This window comes from Homo sapiens, chromosome 2 (assembly GCF_000001405.40).
Source record: "Homo sapiens chromosome 2, GRCh38.p14 Primary Assembly".
NCBI lineage: Eukaryota > Metazoa > Chordata > Mammalia > Primates > Hominidae > Homo > Homo sapiens.
The window spans coordinates 12,757,437-12,777,369 of record NC_000002.12 but is presented as its reverse complement, the minus strand read 5'-3'; the positions used below and the strand labels follow the sequence as shown (position 1 = coordinate 12,777,369).

Here is a 19,933-nt window from a genome sequence, read left to right as displayed (position 1 = left end):
TCCCTAAAATAAACTTAGTATCTATGCTGCATTTTAGTTATTCCCTATTAAATTCACCTGTAAGCTTTTTTTTTTTTGGTGGAAGTTAATGTTCCAAATAATTCATTTTTCATTTTTCAGCTTTTCCAATTCTAGCTTTTCCAGGTTTGGGTGGAAATCTTCCTAAAAGGATTTATACGTAACTACTGTTTTCCTAAAGAGAGATTATTGACTATGAGTTTAAACTTTTCTTAATGATGTGGTGTCATTATTATGATTGTCTATTAGACTATTACGACCATCAGTTCAAAACTTCTGCAGTGAGTTGGTTCTGACTCTGCCCACTCTCCCCGCATTCACCCATCAGGTTTGCAGCTCCTTGCCAGTGTTTGCCTCTGCAGCCTTTGTCTGCTTCTATCTGCTACAGTCATGATTCTCAACATCAGTGTGACTATAATGAAACAAGGAGTCTGTTAGCAATGCAGATATCAGAGCCCCACCCGAGAGAAGCTGTGAGTCTGGGGTGAGGCTCAGAACCTCCCAGTTTTAACAAGCTCCCCAAGGATGTGTTGCTGCAGGTGGTCTGAGGATCACACTATGAGAAGTATGATGCTATGGGCTGAAAACCAAGTTATTCCATCATTTATCTATTGGACAAATATTTTCCAGGCTAGCTATTAGGTTTGGGACATGCAGAGATGAAATGCACTGACCTCTCTATCCTGGAAGGTTCACAATCTACTGAGCTAACAGCCCTAAAACAAACAAGCATAGTCCTGGGCCAAGGGCAATAAAAAGTTTACATTTGAAAGAGTGCTTAACCCATCAAGGCTGGCTTCCCTGTGGTCTAGGCTAGAACTGAGCAAGAACCCATCCCACTTATCATTGTAGACTCTGAGGAGAAGGTGGAAATTTATACAGAAAGTGATCAGGAGCAAGTGAAAGGTTTTCATCAGGACAATAGAATGATTAAAGCGCAGTTTTAGAAAAATGAAGTGTCTGTGACCTCCTCATGTCCCTTCACCTGTCTGTGTCCCTGAACACTGAGGTCCTTAATAGAACAGAGCCACTTACTTAGAGGATCTCTTACCCAGGCAGAGGGACAGTCAGGCCCATGAGCTTATGGATCTACACTGGTCAACCACAGTAACCTTAAGAGCTACCAAAGCAAAGCCCTATCCTGTTACTACTTGCTAGTTATTGTCTTAAACTTGTCATAATGTATATACATTATTATATAATATCATACGTGTAATAGTGTGTGTGTATGATTTCCAGTGCAACCCCTTTGCCAATCCTATAAATTGGGGATTAGCAGGCCTATTCTAACATATAAGGAAGCAGAGATCCAGAAAGGAGAAAACTCCCTCTAATCACACAGGTAGTAGGTGGCAGAGGCCAAATTCTAGCCCACGCTGTCTGTTCTCCTTAGCACCTGTCTCTCAGAACTAAATCACCCACTGCTATGGAACAAAAGAGCAGATATGAAGATTTCTGAGGAATGGCATCCTGAAAACGAAAACCTCACTTCCTTTACCCCCAGTAGAAGGTGATGGTCGTGTTCCTTAGGATGATCATCTAGAGACGTGAGTGTTTCCAAAGTGGCTCCCTCGCTCTGCTTGTCCTCAGGAAGATAGGGAATGGAGCCACGCTACTCAATGCAGTGTTATCCTTCATCCCCAGGCCAGCTCCCATTGTCACATGGAGTGGAGGTCACCATGATACACAATTTCATTTAGATGACATTATCCACAAAGGAGTTCCTGGTAGAGAGTCTGGCACCCCAGATCAGGCAAGCAGCAGACAGAGCCAGCATATCCAGCATCTGCCCAGCCACAAGACTAAAGCTACTCACCCCTGGATCTGTCCTCCCATAGCCTTTCAGGCAGGACAGAGGTTTCCAGACAGGGGCTTTCCAGAAATCTGAGGTGCTCTCAGTCTTCACTGCTGGTTTCTCTCTCCACTCCATCCCCTGTGCTTAAGTTTGCTGGCATTAAGTCCCACACTTCCTAGATAACTTCTGGGACTGCTGAATTGCCTGGACACTGACCCATGTGCCTCCACCTGTCACTCAACTGCCCTTTACCCACCAACTACTTGCTCTTCTGCTTTCTCTTTCTGTAACTGTGAATACTCTTGCTAAATCATTCACAATTATTATTATTGAACAACACCTATGTGCAAGTTTTTAAAATACATTATTTAGTTTAAATCTCAATGCTCTCTGAAGGAAAGCATAATTATGCTCATCATAGAGATGAGAAAACTGAGGCAGAATGATTAAGTGGCTTACTCAAGATCACACAGGTGGCCTGTAGTATATCTGGGATTTGAATGAAAGGTTGTAAGCTAGTGCTCACTGTACCACTGCCCTCTTTGGCTCTTTTGCCAATAGAATATGTGGATTTTCACTTCTTGTGCTCCCATGTACAGATCTTGGAGTTTCAATCCAGTCTTTGGACTCATATCCTTAGATGCCTGTCCCTAGAATAATAATCACCACCCCAGTATTTCTGGGGCACCTATAGAGACTTTAACAAAAAACAGACATCTTTCTGAATCCAGAAGCATGTGAACCCTTTTGTAGTGTGTGTTCCATAAGAAATCATTTGTGTAAGACATTTCATAAGACAAAAACATAGCAACAATAGAAAGGATGTAGAAATGTCAGGTTAAGTTTTTGAAGTTTAAATGTTTATTAATACCATGTGGAAACTAGCTGTTAAATATAACCATGAAGGAAGAAAAAAATCCCCCTGTCTTTCTGCCCTTCAAAGTCTCTCTGTATCACAGCTGTGAAATTTCAAGGGGGGTTGGGGAGGGAGTTTTGTAGAGAAGACATTTCAAAGATGGAATCTCCTGCAGGAATGAGGCAGCATAGTCCCAGGGGGTTATAGGGAGGCTTTTTTCCTAATTGAATCCTCCTGTTTTTCATGTTCAGCCTGCTTTCGGACCCTCCCTCCCTACTCCCACCCTCAACAATGTCTAAAATCTCTAGAGCACTTGATAAAATACATATTATATTAGGTGGGGTTTTTCCAGTGTTAAAGACACTCACAATTTATAATTAAGAAATCTTTAAAAGCAGCTTTGAAAAGGACAGGCCTAGGCTCAGACACAGTTAAGCAAAGTGGATGTCCCTTGGGGGTGATTTTAAGCTAGATCACTAGATAGCCTCTGGTTATAAATCACTCAAAATCAGTCTACCACCCCCAGATTTTTTATTGTCTAAAGAATCCTTTACTTATTAGAATGTAGCTTGGGTTTACTTATGCTCTCTTTTAAAATTTGAACACCCCAGGAAGTATGAGGAGGCCTCTATTCAATGACACTCCAGTGCAAACTTATTCAATCCGTGTGCTTTCTTTCTCACACCTGGCTCTGAGCAATCACTTCAAACAACAGGGTTTGATGGCAAACAAAGGAGGTGAGCAGGAGGGAGGGAGTGAAGAGGAGCTAAGATGTCAGAAAGAGAACAAAGTTTCCTGAGAGGAACAGGGTCAAAAGAGTCCGGGGTCGACAGGGGGTAGGTCTTTCTCAGTGTCAGAAGGCAGTCCTTCTGCCATTGCTCTCAGCTGGAATCTCCACTCTGCCACCTCCCCAGGAACTTTGCTCAAACATTGCACTGGGTCCTTCTGGCAGGCTTTCATGTTCTCCTCTGGTTACCATACACTGCCCCCTTCCTTTTGCTAGCCACACTTTTCAAGGTTTCCATATTCTCTGGGGACACTTCTTCACCACACATTCACTCAACAGGGCATGGTAGTTCCATCTTCATCCCTACTACTTCATTCCACTTATTCTTTCTCATTTTGACTTCCTTACTGGGTCATCCAGTGCCCTTCCATCCCATTGGCCATTCTCTTTATCCTCTTTTCTTCCTTGACCACAGCCTCTCCTGGTGTCCTCCACCTCTAGATCTGCTCTCTCTCAGTCTCTTTTGCACTTTTCTTCAGCCTTCTCCTTCAGGCCATCTTTTAGTTGCCCATTTTCTTCTGGTCATTTTATTTTTTGATTTTTTATTGATATATAATACTTATACATGTTTGGGGGTACATGTGGTATTTTGATACCTGTATACCATGTGTAATGGCCAAACCAGGGTAATTAGGATATACATCACCTCAAACATGTATTATTTCTTTGTGTTGGAAATATCACAATCCTTCTCTTCTAACTATTTTGAAATATACAATAAATCATCGTGAACTATAATTTTCCTACTACACTATTAAATACTAGAACTTACTCCTTCTATCTTTACTGTGTTTTTGTAAGCTTGTTCATTGCGATTGTTACAAGGAGGACAGGCCATCTCCCACATCCAGTCCACTGGAATACCTCATGCAGTGTGTCTGAGCTCCACCCTGTAGCCTTTCCAGTGTCCCCTGCCACCCCTCAGCCAGAGCTGCCAGCATTTCTCATCTATTCTATTGCAGTGACCTCCTAAACTATCCTTCTGTTTCATTTTATTTATATATTTATTTATTTATTTATTTATGAGATGGAGTCTCAATCTGTTGCCTGGGCTGGAGTGCAATGGCATGATCTTGGCTCGCTGAAACCTCCGCCTACCACGTTCAAGAAATTCTCCTTCCTCAGCCTCCGGAGTAGCTGGGATTACAGGGGCACGCCACTACGCCCAGCTAATTTTTGTATTTTTACTAGAGATGGGTTTTCACCATGCTGGCCAGGCTGGTCTCAAACTCTTGACCTCAAGTGATCTGTCCACTTCAGCCTCCCAAAGTGCTGGGATTACAGACGTGAGCCACCGCGCCCAGCCTATCCTTCTGTTTCAGAGTGTTATCTCAAAAACAAAAATCCAATTATTCATTTCCCAGGCTCAATAATCTTCTGTCATCTGACTACATCTAAAATAAAAATCTAAGCCTTCCCCTGTACTATCTCTAAAGGCCGGTGTGACCTCCCCAAGCCTCATTGTATCACCTCTGTCTTACTTGTGAAGGTCCAGCAACCCTGGATACTCTTTCTCTGAACAGGCAAAGTTTATTCCCACCTCAGAGCCTTGGCTCCTGCTCTTCCCACTTCCTGGACCGGAGTTCCCAGATTCTTTTCATAGTCGTTGCTTCTCATCCTCCAGCTCACAGCTTAGTTGCTATATCTTTTTTTTTTTTTTTGAGACAGAGTGCAATGGTACTATCCTGGCTCACTGCAACCTCCCCCCCCTGGGTTCAAGCAATTCTCCTGCCTCAACCTCCCTAGTAGCTGGGGTTACAGGCATGCACCACCATGCCCAGCTAATTTTTGTATTTTTAGTAAAGACGGGGTTTCACCATGTTGGCCAGGCTGGTCTCGAACTCCTGACCTCAAATGATCCACCTGCCTCAGCCTCCCCAAATGCTGGGATTACACGTGTGAGCCACAGCATCCAGCTGTTGCTATCTTTTTGAGAGGTTTTTCTTAAGCAGGCCATCTAAGATAGCATCCCCAATATTATTGTGAATCACATCTCTCCATTTATATTCTTGATATTATCATCTGAATTTATCTCCTTTAATGATTTGTTTATATTCCGTTTTCCCCAAACTCCCACTACAGTGTACATTCATAATATGAGATAATTTTGTCTTTTTTTCTTCTTTATCTCAAGTGTCTCAATTATGTCTGGCATGGAGTTGGCCCTAAATTAATGTGAAAGGTGAGTTGAGTACCTACAGATGGAGTTATGAGTGGAATATGTAAGTCAGGCTTCTCTTTCTTGAGGACCACCTACTTAGCAGAGGGACCAGAGAGTACGGCCCAAAGGAATCATAAGAGTGTAGGCACTGAGTTAAAGACAGAGCCATATGATGGTTCTCCCTTCAGATCTAAACTTTGAACATTTAGTTCAGGAACTAGGAAAACTAAACTTGAATATTTGCTGGTCTATATAATAGAAATGTGGTATTCAGAGCAAAAAATAACAACCCTGCACCTCAGTACTCTCATCTATAAAATTGGAACACATGATCTGCTTTATAGGATGATGTCATCATTCTAGTGTCACACTGCAAGTTAGTGACAGAAGTGGAATTAGAGGGCTGACCTCCCACGTTCCTATTCTGCTGTATATTCTCTGCCCGTATGTGTATGTATATTTGTGTGTGAGCGTGTCTACATCTCTGTGGGTGATTGTACAACACCACCTCCAAACAATGCTCCTGTATTAAACCACAGCTTAATCCAACAGGATGAAGCATGAGACCTCTCTAAATCTCCTCACTCCTGCCTGCATACCTGAAGCAAGTAATGATGACATTTCTTATCACTAAAAACTCTTCTCTAATTCTTGAGAATCCTGTGACCAGATGGCATGAACAGCTGATTCTCCTTAGAAAAATTAGTAAGAAACGGCAGGAAATAGAAGAATACAAAAATACTTTCCAAAGTTTCAGGGGAGAAAACAAAAATTGTGCAGATGAGAATAAAAACGACACACTAAGGAAACCAGTTCCAGGGGTTCAACTTGATGGGGAAAAGTATTAATACATAGAAGGCTATAAATGGCGATGCTGTAGGTAGTCTGGATGTGGATGAAAAGCATCCCTCCAGGTGAAAGCAATGCACTTCAGTGGAGCTAACACCAAAGCTAAGTACACAGAGTCGGCAGAAAATAGATGCCATTGAGATGCCACCAACTTCTTTGCAAGTGAATGAACGTCATGGGGCCTCTGTGGTGGCTAATTATCTCTTCTTCCTTCTGAATGTATTTGCCACATAAAACCTTCTTTTGTTTGCTTTTCAAAATAAATTATCATTTTCTAGTAATGCATATGCTTTGGTGAACTTCACTGAATGGTAAAATGAAGAAAGAAGTGGAATCAGAAGCTTAAAGAGCTTAGAACTGACAGTCGCTGAGCGCCAGCCAAATGCCAAACAGCACACAAAGAAGCAACAAGACCCTCCAGAAACAGATCTGCTTTAGTCAAGAAAACCTAAGTCTCTCATTCTTGCAGCAATTTCTACAAGACTGGTAGTGTTATCCCACAGTTGAAGCAAGAAGACTGAGACTGAAAGATTAAACGACCTGCTCTGAATAAAATACAGTAGGATTTGCATCCGGGTTTTTGTGGTGCTGAAGAAAACTCCTTTAATTTTTTTTTTAAAGAAAAGGTCCCTTAAAGTAATTTTAACAAAATTAATCAAGATGATTCTGAAAGAAGTTTGGACAGAGCTTTGCTATCTTCTCAAAATTTTCTCTACTTCATTTCATTGCCTTGCTTAGTCTTTTTGGACTCTTTACAGAAATGTGAAGTGTGGGCTTGCAGTGCCCACTTGCATCCTTCTGCTCCTGCATTATCTCCATGCTTGCTGAGAAATTTGGATGCACAAACAAGCCATGGGGCAGCACAAGAGGTCAGAAAACCATCAACCCAACAGTGTTCTCCAACTGCCTATTTCTCCTGATACAGCACTGGCAAGGGAGCAAGTGCGAAGTTTTCCACTTCCAGCATCCTTCAGAGACAGCAGTGACTGTGAGCTGAAAGGCAGCCCGGGCGGCCTGATCAGCTCCACAGTTGCACAAGTTCTTCCTTGGAGGAAGTCATCGCCGCGTATGGGGGCGGGCAGGACTGCAGCTGCCTGGAAACCCATCCACATTTGTCTCTTTGATTTCCTTTCATCACTCTCTTCTCTTCTTTTTTCTCTTTCTCTCCTCTCTTTTGTCCCCTTTCTCCCATCTACGTCTCTTCTGTTCAGCCTCCTTACATCTTTGCGACAAGTTATTCTTCCTTTTTTCTTCCTTTCTTTTCTTCCTCCCTCCCTTTCTCCCTTCCTTCCTCCTTTTTTTCTTGCCTTCTTTCATTTCTTTCTTCCTTTAACTTTTCTTCCTTTTCTCCCTCCTTCTCTTTCTTTTCTTTCTCTTTTTCTGTCTTTTTGCTTGCCTGCTTGCTTGCTTTCTGAAACCCCACAACTAAAATGTTCTGCACAACACATTGCCCAGTTTTACAAAAAAAAAAAGAAGAAGAAGAAGAAGAAAAGAAAGAGAAGACAACCATAATTTAAAAAAAAATTCAGAAGCCATGTCGTGCTCTTTCTTCTCTATCTCTTCCTTCTGATTCTAGAAATGATTTAAGTCTTCATCTCAGAATTAAGGGGAGCTCCAAAGAACACCTAGTTAAATTCCCAGCTGGTGCAGGAATCACCTTGACAACACCCTCAACAGGTATTCTCCAGATAGTGGTCAAATGGATGCAAATGTGGCAGAGGAGAATACAAGAAGGAGAGATGAGGGGGTGCCAGGCAGCTCAGCATAGCACCCATGTCCCCCTGAAGAGTGGAGGCCTTACAGAAGGCAGCCAACTCTAAGCTGAACACTCTCTCTCGACAATCACTTGGATCTGTAGAAAAGCTGACAGGTTTTAAAATTGGCATGGCAAAGTGACCTGGGAAAATTAAGTGGTCCTAGGTTTTCTCTAGGGTGCCAGGGCAAGTGACCGAGATGCTATTGTGAAGGAAGATCATTGAAAAGACCATGCACTGTCTTTATTTTGTAGATGAGCAGAGAAAGGGAAAGGTATGTGTCCGTTAGTGCAAGAACCAAGACAAGAATTCAAGCCCCTTAATAGTTATTATTACCTTAGTCCATTGCACTCAGCTAAATATTCATCCCCCGAAATAAAGCAAGCTGGTCTTACCAAAATACTTGGCTAAAGGCCTTCCACACAAATACAACTCCGCAACAATCCTCCTCTGCCACCTCACACTCGTGTCTCCTTATTCTCCCTCTCTGCCTCTTGTCCTACCTGATCTCCTCTTCACTGACTTAGTCCTTCCCTTATCCTAGCTGATGGCTCAGATCTGCCAATGACATATGGTGGCCTTCCTAGTCTACTGGTCATCAACACCTAGCCAGATCTTTGTCCTGAATAAGAAGAAAGAATATCATGCTAGAATGAAAACACAAGAGGCAACCCCATCAGCCAGCACTGAGCCCCAGAGCAAACATTCATCATGGGACTCCAGCTGCCTTTGTGTGCAATCACGAGGTATTGGGGACTGCTCTTTTTCACTGAGTTATTGCAGGAGGAAGCATTGGTCTGTAAAGATTCTATATCTCTACATGCATCAGCCTAGATGGGAGTTTAGAGATATCTACCCCAACATTTTTGGAATGTAAAACAAAGCCTAGAGAGCAAAATGACTTGCCAAAAGTCACACATCATTTAGTGATGAATCTAAACTGAAAACAAAGTCTGTCTCTTGTTCCGGTCTCAAAACACCAACCACTGGGTGAGAGACACAGAAGTCAGTAAATGCTGGTGTCTTCATTCATTTTCCCCTTCCTCCCTCCTTTTGCTCTCCTTTCCTTTTTTCTCCTCAGATTAAAGTGAGCTATAAGCACTCAGTGTTTGTTTGCCTGGGATTTTTCCAACTTCGGCTAGATTTATAGATCTATATTTTTCTCCTTTCATTCATGTCTATAAATGTACTGAAAGGGCTTCTGAGGTCCTTTCTCTGACCTTCTTTTCTTTCTATTCTACACAGAGTGGGGGCGAAGCTAAACAAATGATTTCCCAGATAATGTTCAAACCCTGCATAAGCTTCCACAGGACTCCGGAAGGAGCACCAAGGAGCCAGACATGCTCCTGGCATGCTGAAGACGCCGCACTGCTGGCACTGCCGGGGTGCGCTCAGGAGAAAGAACAGGATAGGCAGAGAAAGAGCTGAGGAAGATGGAGGTGGTAGGAGGAGGAGGAGTTCCCAGTTCTCAGTGTCTCAGTCTGGCTTTGTGAATATGCAATGTGCGGTTGGGTTTGCCAAAGACAAAAGGGTAACATTTGCCTACAAATTCCAGTGGATTGAAGCCATATAAAATCTCAGTGCTGGGCCGATGAGAGCAACCATCATCTTGCCTTGCCCTGGAGATGAATTTCAGGGGTTCTTCTCTTCAAGGAAGTGGAGTGGGGGGCAAAGAGGAGAAGGCAGGGTATGAAACATAGGTCAAATGTGGACTGGGCTTTGAAACCAGAGACCTGATCTGAACTCCAGCTCTGTCACCCACTACCTGAGTGACCCCAGCAGAGGCATTTGGTAGGTTGGCTGGCCTTATTGTCCCAGGTCCAACCAAGTCAGGTGGACCTTGGGTAAGCTACTTAATGTTTGTAAATCCTCATTTCCTCACACATACAAAGAGTTTGATGATACCTACCTACTTAGCAGGATTGTTATGAAGATCAGAAATTATTGGCATGGAGTGCAGAATGGTTATTACACAGAGGGACAAGGGAGGGCCATTTCCGTAGTCCTCCATTTAAGTGGGAGGATTTTGGAGTGGACGCTCTTGCAGGCCATTGGGCATGGGCAGAGTGAGTCCTGCACTTCAGCCTGAGAACCTGCTGTCTTTGACTTGTGTGCCTGACGGGAAGCACACAGAATGCTCACCAGATGGGTGTTGTATAAATAGCGTCTTTGCCACACTATTGCTACTGCCCAAACTTCCTTACCAAGAACCAGGTTGCATCTGCACTTGTGGGTGCCCCAGCCTCTCACCCTGACTGGCTGTGGCCTCTGGTCACCCCAGGGGACACGTCCCTACATGACAATTCCGGGGACTCAATGAGCTGCGAGTGGCTCCCTGGCTGCAGCACAGTCTATTCAGTCAAAAGAGAGCAGCACCGGCGGATCCGGATCCAAGTGTGCAGGCGCGTCTCCATCTGGCCAAGCATCTTCTGTCTGGGATGCGACCACCCACACCATTCTCTTCTGATCAAACAGTCAGGCTTGCCATGATTCAGCTTCCATTCCAGTTCTGCAGGACCCACTCTCCTCCAAAGGACTGGAAGGCCTGTCTAATGAGCGAGCAGGAAGTGTAGGCTGTGAAGTCCTCCCAGCTGAGACTCCGGGAGAGCCAACTCACATCTGAGATGTCGGTGGAATTTTTCTCCTGTCATTATTTTTAGCCTTATTAGCTTTGCATTGTTTTTGAGAGATGAAGCACAAAGAAGGCATAGAGAGAGGCAGTCAGGCAGCTTGGCTTCAGGTTCTGACTTGCTCGCTTGTAACTGTGTGACCTTGGACATTTGTTTTTACCTCTTTGAGACTCATTGTCTTCATCCGTGCAATGACAATAGTACTGCCTGTTCATCTTGCCATCGAATGTTGTTTCTAGACTCAAAAGAGAGAATAATGACAGTGAAAGAGCTTTGTCACTGTAAAACACCAGTTTTTAGTGATTATAGCTTACTAACCCCCGTGAAGATATTTTCTTTTTTCCTAAAACTACTCCTTTTAGATGTCACCTGAATGTGGGTTGGAGGCAGGGGTTGTGACAAGGGCTCAAGAGATTAGAGGGAGAGAGGAGGCTAAAGGTCTCAGAGTGAATGGGGGCAGATTCTAGGTTTCTGGAGGTTGCTAAACTTTCTTTCTTTCCCATCTTCCCTGCTCTCTACTCTCCCAGTGCTCCTCCTCCCTGAGACTCTGAGCATTGCTTTGCCAGACACTGATGCAAGTGCTAGAGGCACAATGATGTGAAATCTTCAAGGAACCAAAAGTGTAAAAGGGAGGCAGAAACAAAAAGGGAACTCAGACATGGCGTGTGAGGCTATCTCCGAGCAAGTGCAGGATTCAGGAAGCCCAGGGAGAGAGCAACTGATCAGCTTTAAGTAAAGGAGCTAATGGAAGCCTCCTGAGAGAGGTAATATTAACTCTATTTTACAGGTGAGGAAACTGATGCTCAGGAAGGTTGGATGATTTGCCTAAGGTCAAAAATCAAGAAGTGGTATAGCCTGGACCCAGTTGTATTCTATCCAAAGGTTCTTCTCTTTCCATTCCACCATTTTGAGCAAAGCTGGCTTTATGGGGGGAAGCATGATGCTATTAAAAGAAAATTCTGTATCAAGGTTATTGGAGTGAGGAGATAATCATCCTCTTTATACCCTAATTCACACTGAGAGGCTTTTTATTCTAAGGCCTTGTCCCCAGGCTAAGCCTTTAGCTTCTTAGATGAAGACTGTGGCATTCCTGATGCTAGCGCTCATCTTTCCTCCTCGTAGACATTGTACAGACTCCATCAGGTCAGTGCCTGCGGGAAAGTGGTATAAACTTGTAAGCCACTTCTAGGCTCTACTCTGTTCTCTCTGTTCTACCTCACTGGCCTTCAAATTTCTCCCAAATTCACACAACAAAACTTGCTCTCCATTCTAATTTTCCTGAAGTTTGCTATCTGAGGGTTGGAGGAATGAAAAGAACAGCTCACAGAGTCAGAGACCTGGACTCTGCTCCCAACTCTGCCATTAATAGTCTGTCAACTTGAACAAGGCTACTGAGGTCTTTGAGCCTTGGTTTCTTTGTCTCTAAAATGAGAACATTAACATTGACCCCTGTATGCATGATGCAAGGCTCAAGTAATGTGATTTATTAGTGATAGCTAAGTGAAGTGTAAGGCATCCCATTGTTACTAACATACAGTGCAATCTGCAGATATGGTTTTGATCTGGAGGGCTCTCATTTTCTTTAAAGGAAGGACCGTGTTGAATGTCTTTAATCCTATAGGACTCAAATCATCTTTTTTGCAACGGTCATCTTTCAGGCGATGCCCCTCGCGTATAGGCTCTGGAAGTGTATATCAATTCAACCGCAGAATGAATCAATGCTTGCAGTTGATTCAATCAATTGCTTGCAATCAATGCCTAGCTTTTCTTCTTCTTTTTCCTGCAAAATGTGTTTCTCTTTTCTAATGAAGATTCCCTGCTGATAGCTGTTTGGGGCCCAAGAAATCAGCACTTGGAATGAGGTTCTGTGAATACATGCTGGAAAATGTGGGCCCAGTATCAAAAATGATCGCCTCCAGCACAGTCTAGACTGTAGAGCCAGCCTCCAAGGGGAAGTGGTGGTAGCAGTGCTGCCTGAGTCATTAGGCAACTGTGCCAGAACCCAGGCTTAGAGCAAGCAGTTTGCACATTGTTAGGAGTGCTCTGCAGCTGGAGGGGTCCAGCACAGGATGACTTTACCAAGGTGGACTTCCACCTCTTGTTTCTTTGAATCCTTCATTTGTGTGACATTGCAACTAGCTGGCTGTGGTTTTCTCTGTAAAGTTCCCCTGGAAGATTTAGAGCAGTATGCGGGGAAGCCCTCCCTTGCCAGGTTCTTTCCCTACCCAGTCTTTAAGCTATCTAAGCTTACACAGAAACATGGGGTGGGGATACACAATGCTTCCCTCCTACTAGAAGCAGAATTTGATTTCTGGCATCGTTCACCGAACCCACTGGCTCCATTGTGTGTCTTGGGGGGAAAGTCTGTGTAATTTCCTTTCAGCCTGGGAGTAGTAGAAGGTCAGAAAGACATAGGTTTAACTACAGTGTATACCACCTTAGATTAGAGACCAGCTTCCCTGAGTTTGTTTCCTCAGGTGTAGAAAGTACATAATAATATTGCATTACTTAAATCCAAGATGCCATTATTTTATGCCACCTTAGAAAAAAAAGCAATGCTGCCAGTTAGACTGAGACACTATTGACAATAAAATATATCCTAAAATCAGAGATGTTAAAGTATTTAAAAAAGAAAAAAAAATGTCTAAGAACAAATGAAACATGGCACCTACCCCCGAGGGTTCCTGTGAAGATTAATTAAGATCGTGCATTTGAAAGTGTTTTGAAAACTGTCAAGTACTGTAGATACTCTGTTATATTTAATAGATGGAGTGTGCATTGCCATGGAAAAGCACCAGCTTTGAGGTCAGCCAGACTTAGTTCTAATTCCAAGGATACCACTCCCCAGCTGTGGGATGTAGGACCACTCCTTTAACTCTCCTGGATCTCAGTTTTTCACTCTGCAGCAAGAAAAACGAATTCCTTCTCGTTTCTCTTGCAAGTGCTGGATCACAAATATACAGAAGATGTACTAACTTGAAAAATGATTTCTCTTATTCAAGTGTAACTAGAAATCTTGCATTTTTATTTGCTAAATCTAGCAACTCTATGTAAACTAAAGGGATCAACAAATGTAACATGCAGGGCAGTCTGGGGCACGGGAATAAGACCTGGGAACTTTAGAAGAGCAGGAAGGATGAAAGGGGAATTCATACTGATCTAAGCCTAGGGATGGATATAAGCTTCACATGGTGGGCTAGAGACAGCAGAAGGGGAGCCTGAGAGACGACAGAGACAAGAAGACACTGCCTCTGAAGGCTTCAGCCTTGGCTGGCAGGAGTCTGGAGGCGGGTGCTCAGATCCACACTTTGCCTGATGGTGTCTTACAAAAAGCCAGGAGCAACAGACTCCAAATAAATGTCTTTAAAAAATGGAGATGACTAAGTGAGTAATAGCTGCGGGAAGAAAATTCAAGAGTTGCATTGAGTAAGAAAATGTTCCAATGTTTTTCAATAAACCAAGGGAAAGTGTAAATTATTCATTTGTTATTTTTGTAAGGGTTTCAAATCTGTGATTTTTTTTTTCCCGTTTTGTCTCCAGTTTTTTTGTCCACAAGAATGTCTCTCCTCCATTGAAAGGAACTTCTTTTTGCAAATGGAGTCTCAAACCTCACCAAAATTGCAAATGTAAAGTTCATTTCACCCCTCTCAGGCCCCACTGGATAGAATCCTAGGTAGGCTCTGGGCTTAATACTACTACCTTGTTCCAAGTAGAAGGCAGAGTTTGTGTGGCGCTTGGTTTGTTTTGACTTTAAGAGTTGCTAAATTCAGGTCTTTGATATTTGACCATGTTTCGGAGCTATTGAAATAGACTTGGGTTTTCGTCAATAACAAATGAATGATATTTTTGTTTTCTCAGAAGACACTCATACCTGTGAATGAGTTAGGCTGGGATTATGGTTTCTGGTTTACCTGTGGGGCTACTGACTCTCAGGCTACACAGAGCTAGCCCAGGCTCCTGCAGTAGGTTGGTGACAGCTGGACTCAGGCCTGGCTCCCTGCTTCTTACTAGCTGTCTTGGCACTTCAGTCAAACCACCTGGGGCTCCATTGCCTCATCTAAGAAATACAGCAAATACTGCCTATTTGCCTGGTTGTTTGTGAAGGTCATTTGAAATATTTTCTATAGAAGGGTATTGTAAACCACAAAATGGTTTACTGGTATTAATAATTCTTACATATTTACCTAGTTTATTGACAGAACTGGAAGATGACTCTCAGCCTTCTTAGACGAATCCTCCATTTCCCATTTTCAACACACCACCTTCATGAAGGTAGAAGAACCAAATGTACAAAGTTAAATCCTCTTCTCATGTAGGGATCTCTGGCCCCTTCTCTGGAGGCAGGGAAAGGTAACCTTGACTTTGGAATCCACTCTTATAAGGTGGATGGGGTAGAACAAGTCTCCTTGACAATTGACAGACCTAAGTACACGTCATAAAGACAAGCTACAGAGAAAAATTGCTTTAAGGAAACTTTAAATCTCTCATTATTTCTTGTATATTAAGGAAGATGATTACTCATATAAAGCAAACTAGTAGGAGTGAGGAATATTCGACAACCTTCTCAGAAAAATGTAAGTTTTGTTAAGAAAAACAGGATAAAAGGAATATATTTTTAAAAATATGAGACTTTGTTATTAAGACTAATTTCCAAAAACTACATGTGAAAACAATATTGTCACTTAACAATCAAATAGGCATAGGGTTCTAAGACCAATACTCTTAAAATATTATCCATATATGATCATTTAAAGCCAGAAGAAATCCTAGTCATTAATTATACACACCAGGACTTGGTGTTTTACAGATTTTGAAAACAAAGTCCAAATAAGGAAGGGATTTTGACAGGTCCACATAGCAAATAAGAAGCTGAACTAGAAACAGAATTTAGGTTAATTGGCTCTTAGGATCATTCATTTTTAGGCACATCAGCTCTTTTTGCCTTTTTATAAAATTTTTGTGGATTCTCCTGTCTGGAAAGTGGAGGGATTGCCTCTGATAATACTGCAATAATGCATCCAAAATCACCATCACTGATGTCAAAATTTTCTAAAGAAAACTTCTTTACAGTGACTTTCTCAATTACATTGACCTTATTTATGAGTCGTCATGGTCCCATCTCGTTACGAGACAGGAAGGAAACAGTCGCATCGAAGGGAAGATCGTTGTAGCTGATCTTCATCAGGGTCTGATAACATCTAAGTTGATTATTTAATTTGCAGCACAGTCATTTTTTCCTCAACACTCTCAGCTCTTAATAGCATGGCTCTCTCATTTGAATAACATTTTTAAAAGATGATGGATGGGTGCATTTTTCAAAAAAGACTCACAAAAGACATAAAAAGGCCACCAAGGGTGGCAGGGAAGGACCATCTGCTGATTCAGAAAAAAAAAATAATACATGAATGCCTCATAGACAAAAGTGGCTATGGCAAACTAAACAAGATTTCAGTATTAGCAAAAAGTGTGTTGTATAAGCAAAGTGTGTAACAAAGACAATGAGAATCTTGTACCCACTCTTCTATTTTTGCCTAAAGTGTTGAAACTCAGGGCTGAAATTGTGTCCTCAATGTTCATGTCTTTTCCCAGCTAGGATATCTAGTATCATACAATGATCACTCCTTTTTTGCCTTTTACCTGAGGTCAGGGATTTGAATTTCATTTTTTCTGTGTGTTATTTTGAGCTGCCAGGAATCATCTTTGCTATTAATTAATTTTGGAAAAAAAAACAATAAGTAGAATAAGGTCATAGAGATCTATATCAACTTAAAGAGAAAGAAAATGTGTAATCGACCTTTGGTCCTCCCACCGGCCTGTACATTCTCATCCTGTCTTTCTGTTGCCATTCTTTTTTATCCTGGTGGGACTGTCAATAATAGTGCCCTGTACCCCCTCCACAGGTGTTGACACCTGAGCACTAGCTACTAGTAAGGGTATCCCTATACGCTTGCCTCCAGTGACTTGTCCAGAGACAAGCAAGCAACTCAAGCAGAACCTACAAGATTCTTTCCTGAGAGTGGTATATAGATATAGGAAGAGGGAATGTTTCTTTCTGCTGGAAGGTTGTAAATCTGGGGCTGCCAACAGTCATATTATCTGCTATTTGGAGGTAGATTGTGACTAGTGAAGCCAAGCAGAGATAAGCAGAATGGCAAGGCAGAGAGAAAGGGAGAAAGAGAAAATCCTGATGTCCTCATTCAAGTTATTGGATCCTGACTTATTTGATAGAAGATTTCCAATATATTATATTGTTTCTATTGTTGTTGTCAAGAGAATTTAACTTTTTGCACTTACAGCTGAAGATTTTCTGAGTAATACAAGGAAAGAAGCAGGAACTCATTTAGTGGATTAACCAAAAAGAATTCTGACTTCAATGGCCTCAAAGTAGACCTTGAGGCATCTCTGTGGGACTCTAGTACTTCATGTAACCAATTTTAAAACCACCAGTATAGTAGTATAGATTCTAGAGCTCACCGGATTATAAACTCAATGAGGGCAAAACCATAGTTGGTACCTGTTTTATTCTCTACCATATTCTTGCACCTAGCACAGTGGCTGGGTGTAAATACACAAATACTTTGTATGTAGAGGGAATGATGGTGCTATTTTTTAATTTACATATTCTTAACAAAGTGGCGTGTTTCCCTTCTTAAATATGAATTGCTTCAAGAGCTGCTGAAAGGTTAATTTGGAAAACAATGTGTATGATGTCTAGCACTGTTCCCTTTGCCCTTCATCCCTCCAAAATTCAGTAGGTGTCTGTTGCATTTACTAGAATACACATGAGGTGGAATCAGGAGACCTGTATTTTAGGGTCAGCTCCATCATGGTGTCATTTTATGCAAGTCCTTCTCTTCACAGGGCACACATTTCTGCAGTGGTAACATGAGGGAGCTGAGCTGGATGAGCCCTGAGGTCCCTTCCAAGTCTGCCATTCCATGGCTTAGTATAGAGCAGGATATTGATGACTCACTTAGCAGGATAAACAAGTTCTCCCCATGTGCCGTCTGCTAAAGTAATGAGCGGAACTCTTTCTAAACAGAAAAAAATTTTCACACCAGACAGAATCCAAAACCTCTGAGGGTTAAATGAGGGGAAGCATAATACTAAGCAGATGAATCCTCTAAAATAATATTGCAACACCTCCTGGCATCCCATCCTAGTTTCCATAGGATCTCTCCTGAGCGATTTAACTGCCATGCATGGGGACACCTGAGGTCACTTCCAGCCCTGGCCCTGGCTCCACCGGTTGAGCATACCTTCTGCATTTTGTTGTTTCTGCCTATCAGGCCCATTAGGTACATGGAACACAAGGATTCCCTTACAATGGACTCCCAGGGAGCTTATGGGTCCACTGGCAGCCAGTTTGTAATTACTCCTTTTTCTCTCCTCTAAGGAAATGTCTGTCCCAGAGGTTCCCAGGAAGCAAATTAAGATAAACTAAAATGGCCATCAATTAATAATAATAATGTCATTATTGCATCTCTTGTGTACACTATACTAGGAAAACATTACATTAGACACACACATATCATCCCCAAGTTACAAATGAAGAAACTGAAACACAGAAAAGTTCAATAACTTGCCTAACATTATTCAGCTTCAAAGAGGCGAAACCAAAATTCAGACCAAGAACGTTTTACCCTATTCCTATGCTTTCAACCCCTGTCTTAGGCCATTCAGGCTTCTATCACAAAATACCATAGACTAGGTAGCATATAAAACAACAGAAATTGATTTCTCATGGTTCTGGAGGCTGGAAAATCCAAGATCAAGGCATCAGCAGATTCCGTGTCCAGTGAAGGCCCATTCCTCGTAGACAGCCGTCTTCTCACTGTCATCTCACATTGCTCAAGGGGTCGCGGGTTGCAATGGGGTTTCTTTCATAATGGCATTAATCCCATTAATGAGGGTTCTGCCTGCCCCCCTATGACCTAATCACCTCCCAAAGGCCTCACCTCCTATACCATCACTTAGGAAGTTAGGATATAAACATATGAATTGCATCCCCTATCATGTCTGTAGACATGTGAAGCCATGTTTTCCTTAGTATGTATAAAGAAATAAGCTTCTGGAAATTATTTTTTAAAAGGAAGAAACAATTTTCTCCAGGTGGTATAATACTGACAGTGTAAAGCATGAATCTTGGTGAAAGCAGCCACTTCATTAGACCTGGGATCCAGGGAGAACATGGCCCAAGTGGACCAAGTCCTGTTTAACTCCCTGAGCTGATAACATCAGATGGAATCCACTGTCAATGCGCCTGCATTGATTCTGCCCAGTTGGGGCTAGCCTTTTGGGGTGCTCTACAATATGAACACCTCAAAATTCAAGGCTCAGGCCCAGCTGTCAGCAAACCCAGAAGCAAAGGGTCATTTATCACCCCTTTTGGTACATATTTTAATTTTGGGAAATTAATCAATACTCAAGGATAGAGGTATCTTTGCAAAGAGTCTTCCTAGAAAGCCCCAGTCCCCATGAAACTATCTCCCTTCCTTAAGAATTTATACTCTCTGGCATGTTGTACCACCCATTTAATGCTAAGAACATGCTTTTTAGGCCCCCTAAAAGACTATAAGATGTAATTAGGCAACATCTATATCTATGTCTATAACAAAATTTATTCTAAGAACTTTGCTTATGATATCACTGTATGCTCTTTATAATTCCTGAAAAAGAATTGTTCAGAGTTTCAAAACAAGAAAGTGTGTTTTCTTTGACTATTGAATAACTTTTATTGACTCAAACATGGTGCATTTTACAGCCTATTGATTTTGGATTTGGATAGCAGCTGCCTGGAACATACCATAGTCTCATACCTATAGGCTTTTGATACCTCTACCTAAAAATACTCATTTTTGCTTCATGGACGCTTACTCATTCTCCAGGACTCAATTTGGCCATGATCTTTTCCAGTGAGTCCTTCTTTACCTCCGTGCAGGCTGGATCAAGTCTTCCCATACTCCTCAGGTGTACCTACGGAACAGAAATTCTCACGGAGCACAGTGGTCATGTAATTTGTCAGCTTCTCCATTATAGCCTGAGCTCAAGAATTTTCTGGATATTCTATTTCTTTTGCCTGT

The 19,933-nt window shown here is 42.2% G+C and overlaps 1 annotated feature.

The window, feature by feature from the left end:
• Window positions 6,993–7,843: an enhancer, noted in NCBI's record as "H3K4me1 hESC enhancer chr2:12909653-12910503 (GRCh37/hg19 assembly coordinates)". NCBI's record gives its function as "activates a minimal SCP1, AML or CMV promoter by ChIP-STARR-seq in primed H9 embryonic stem cells {active_cell/tissue: H9 hESC(primed)}" and the evidence as "EXISTENCE:reporter gene assay evidence [ECO:0000049][PMID:30033119]".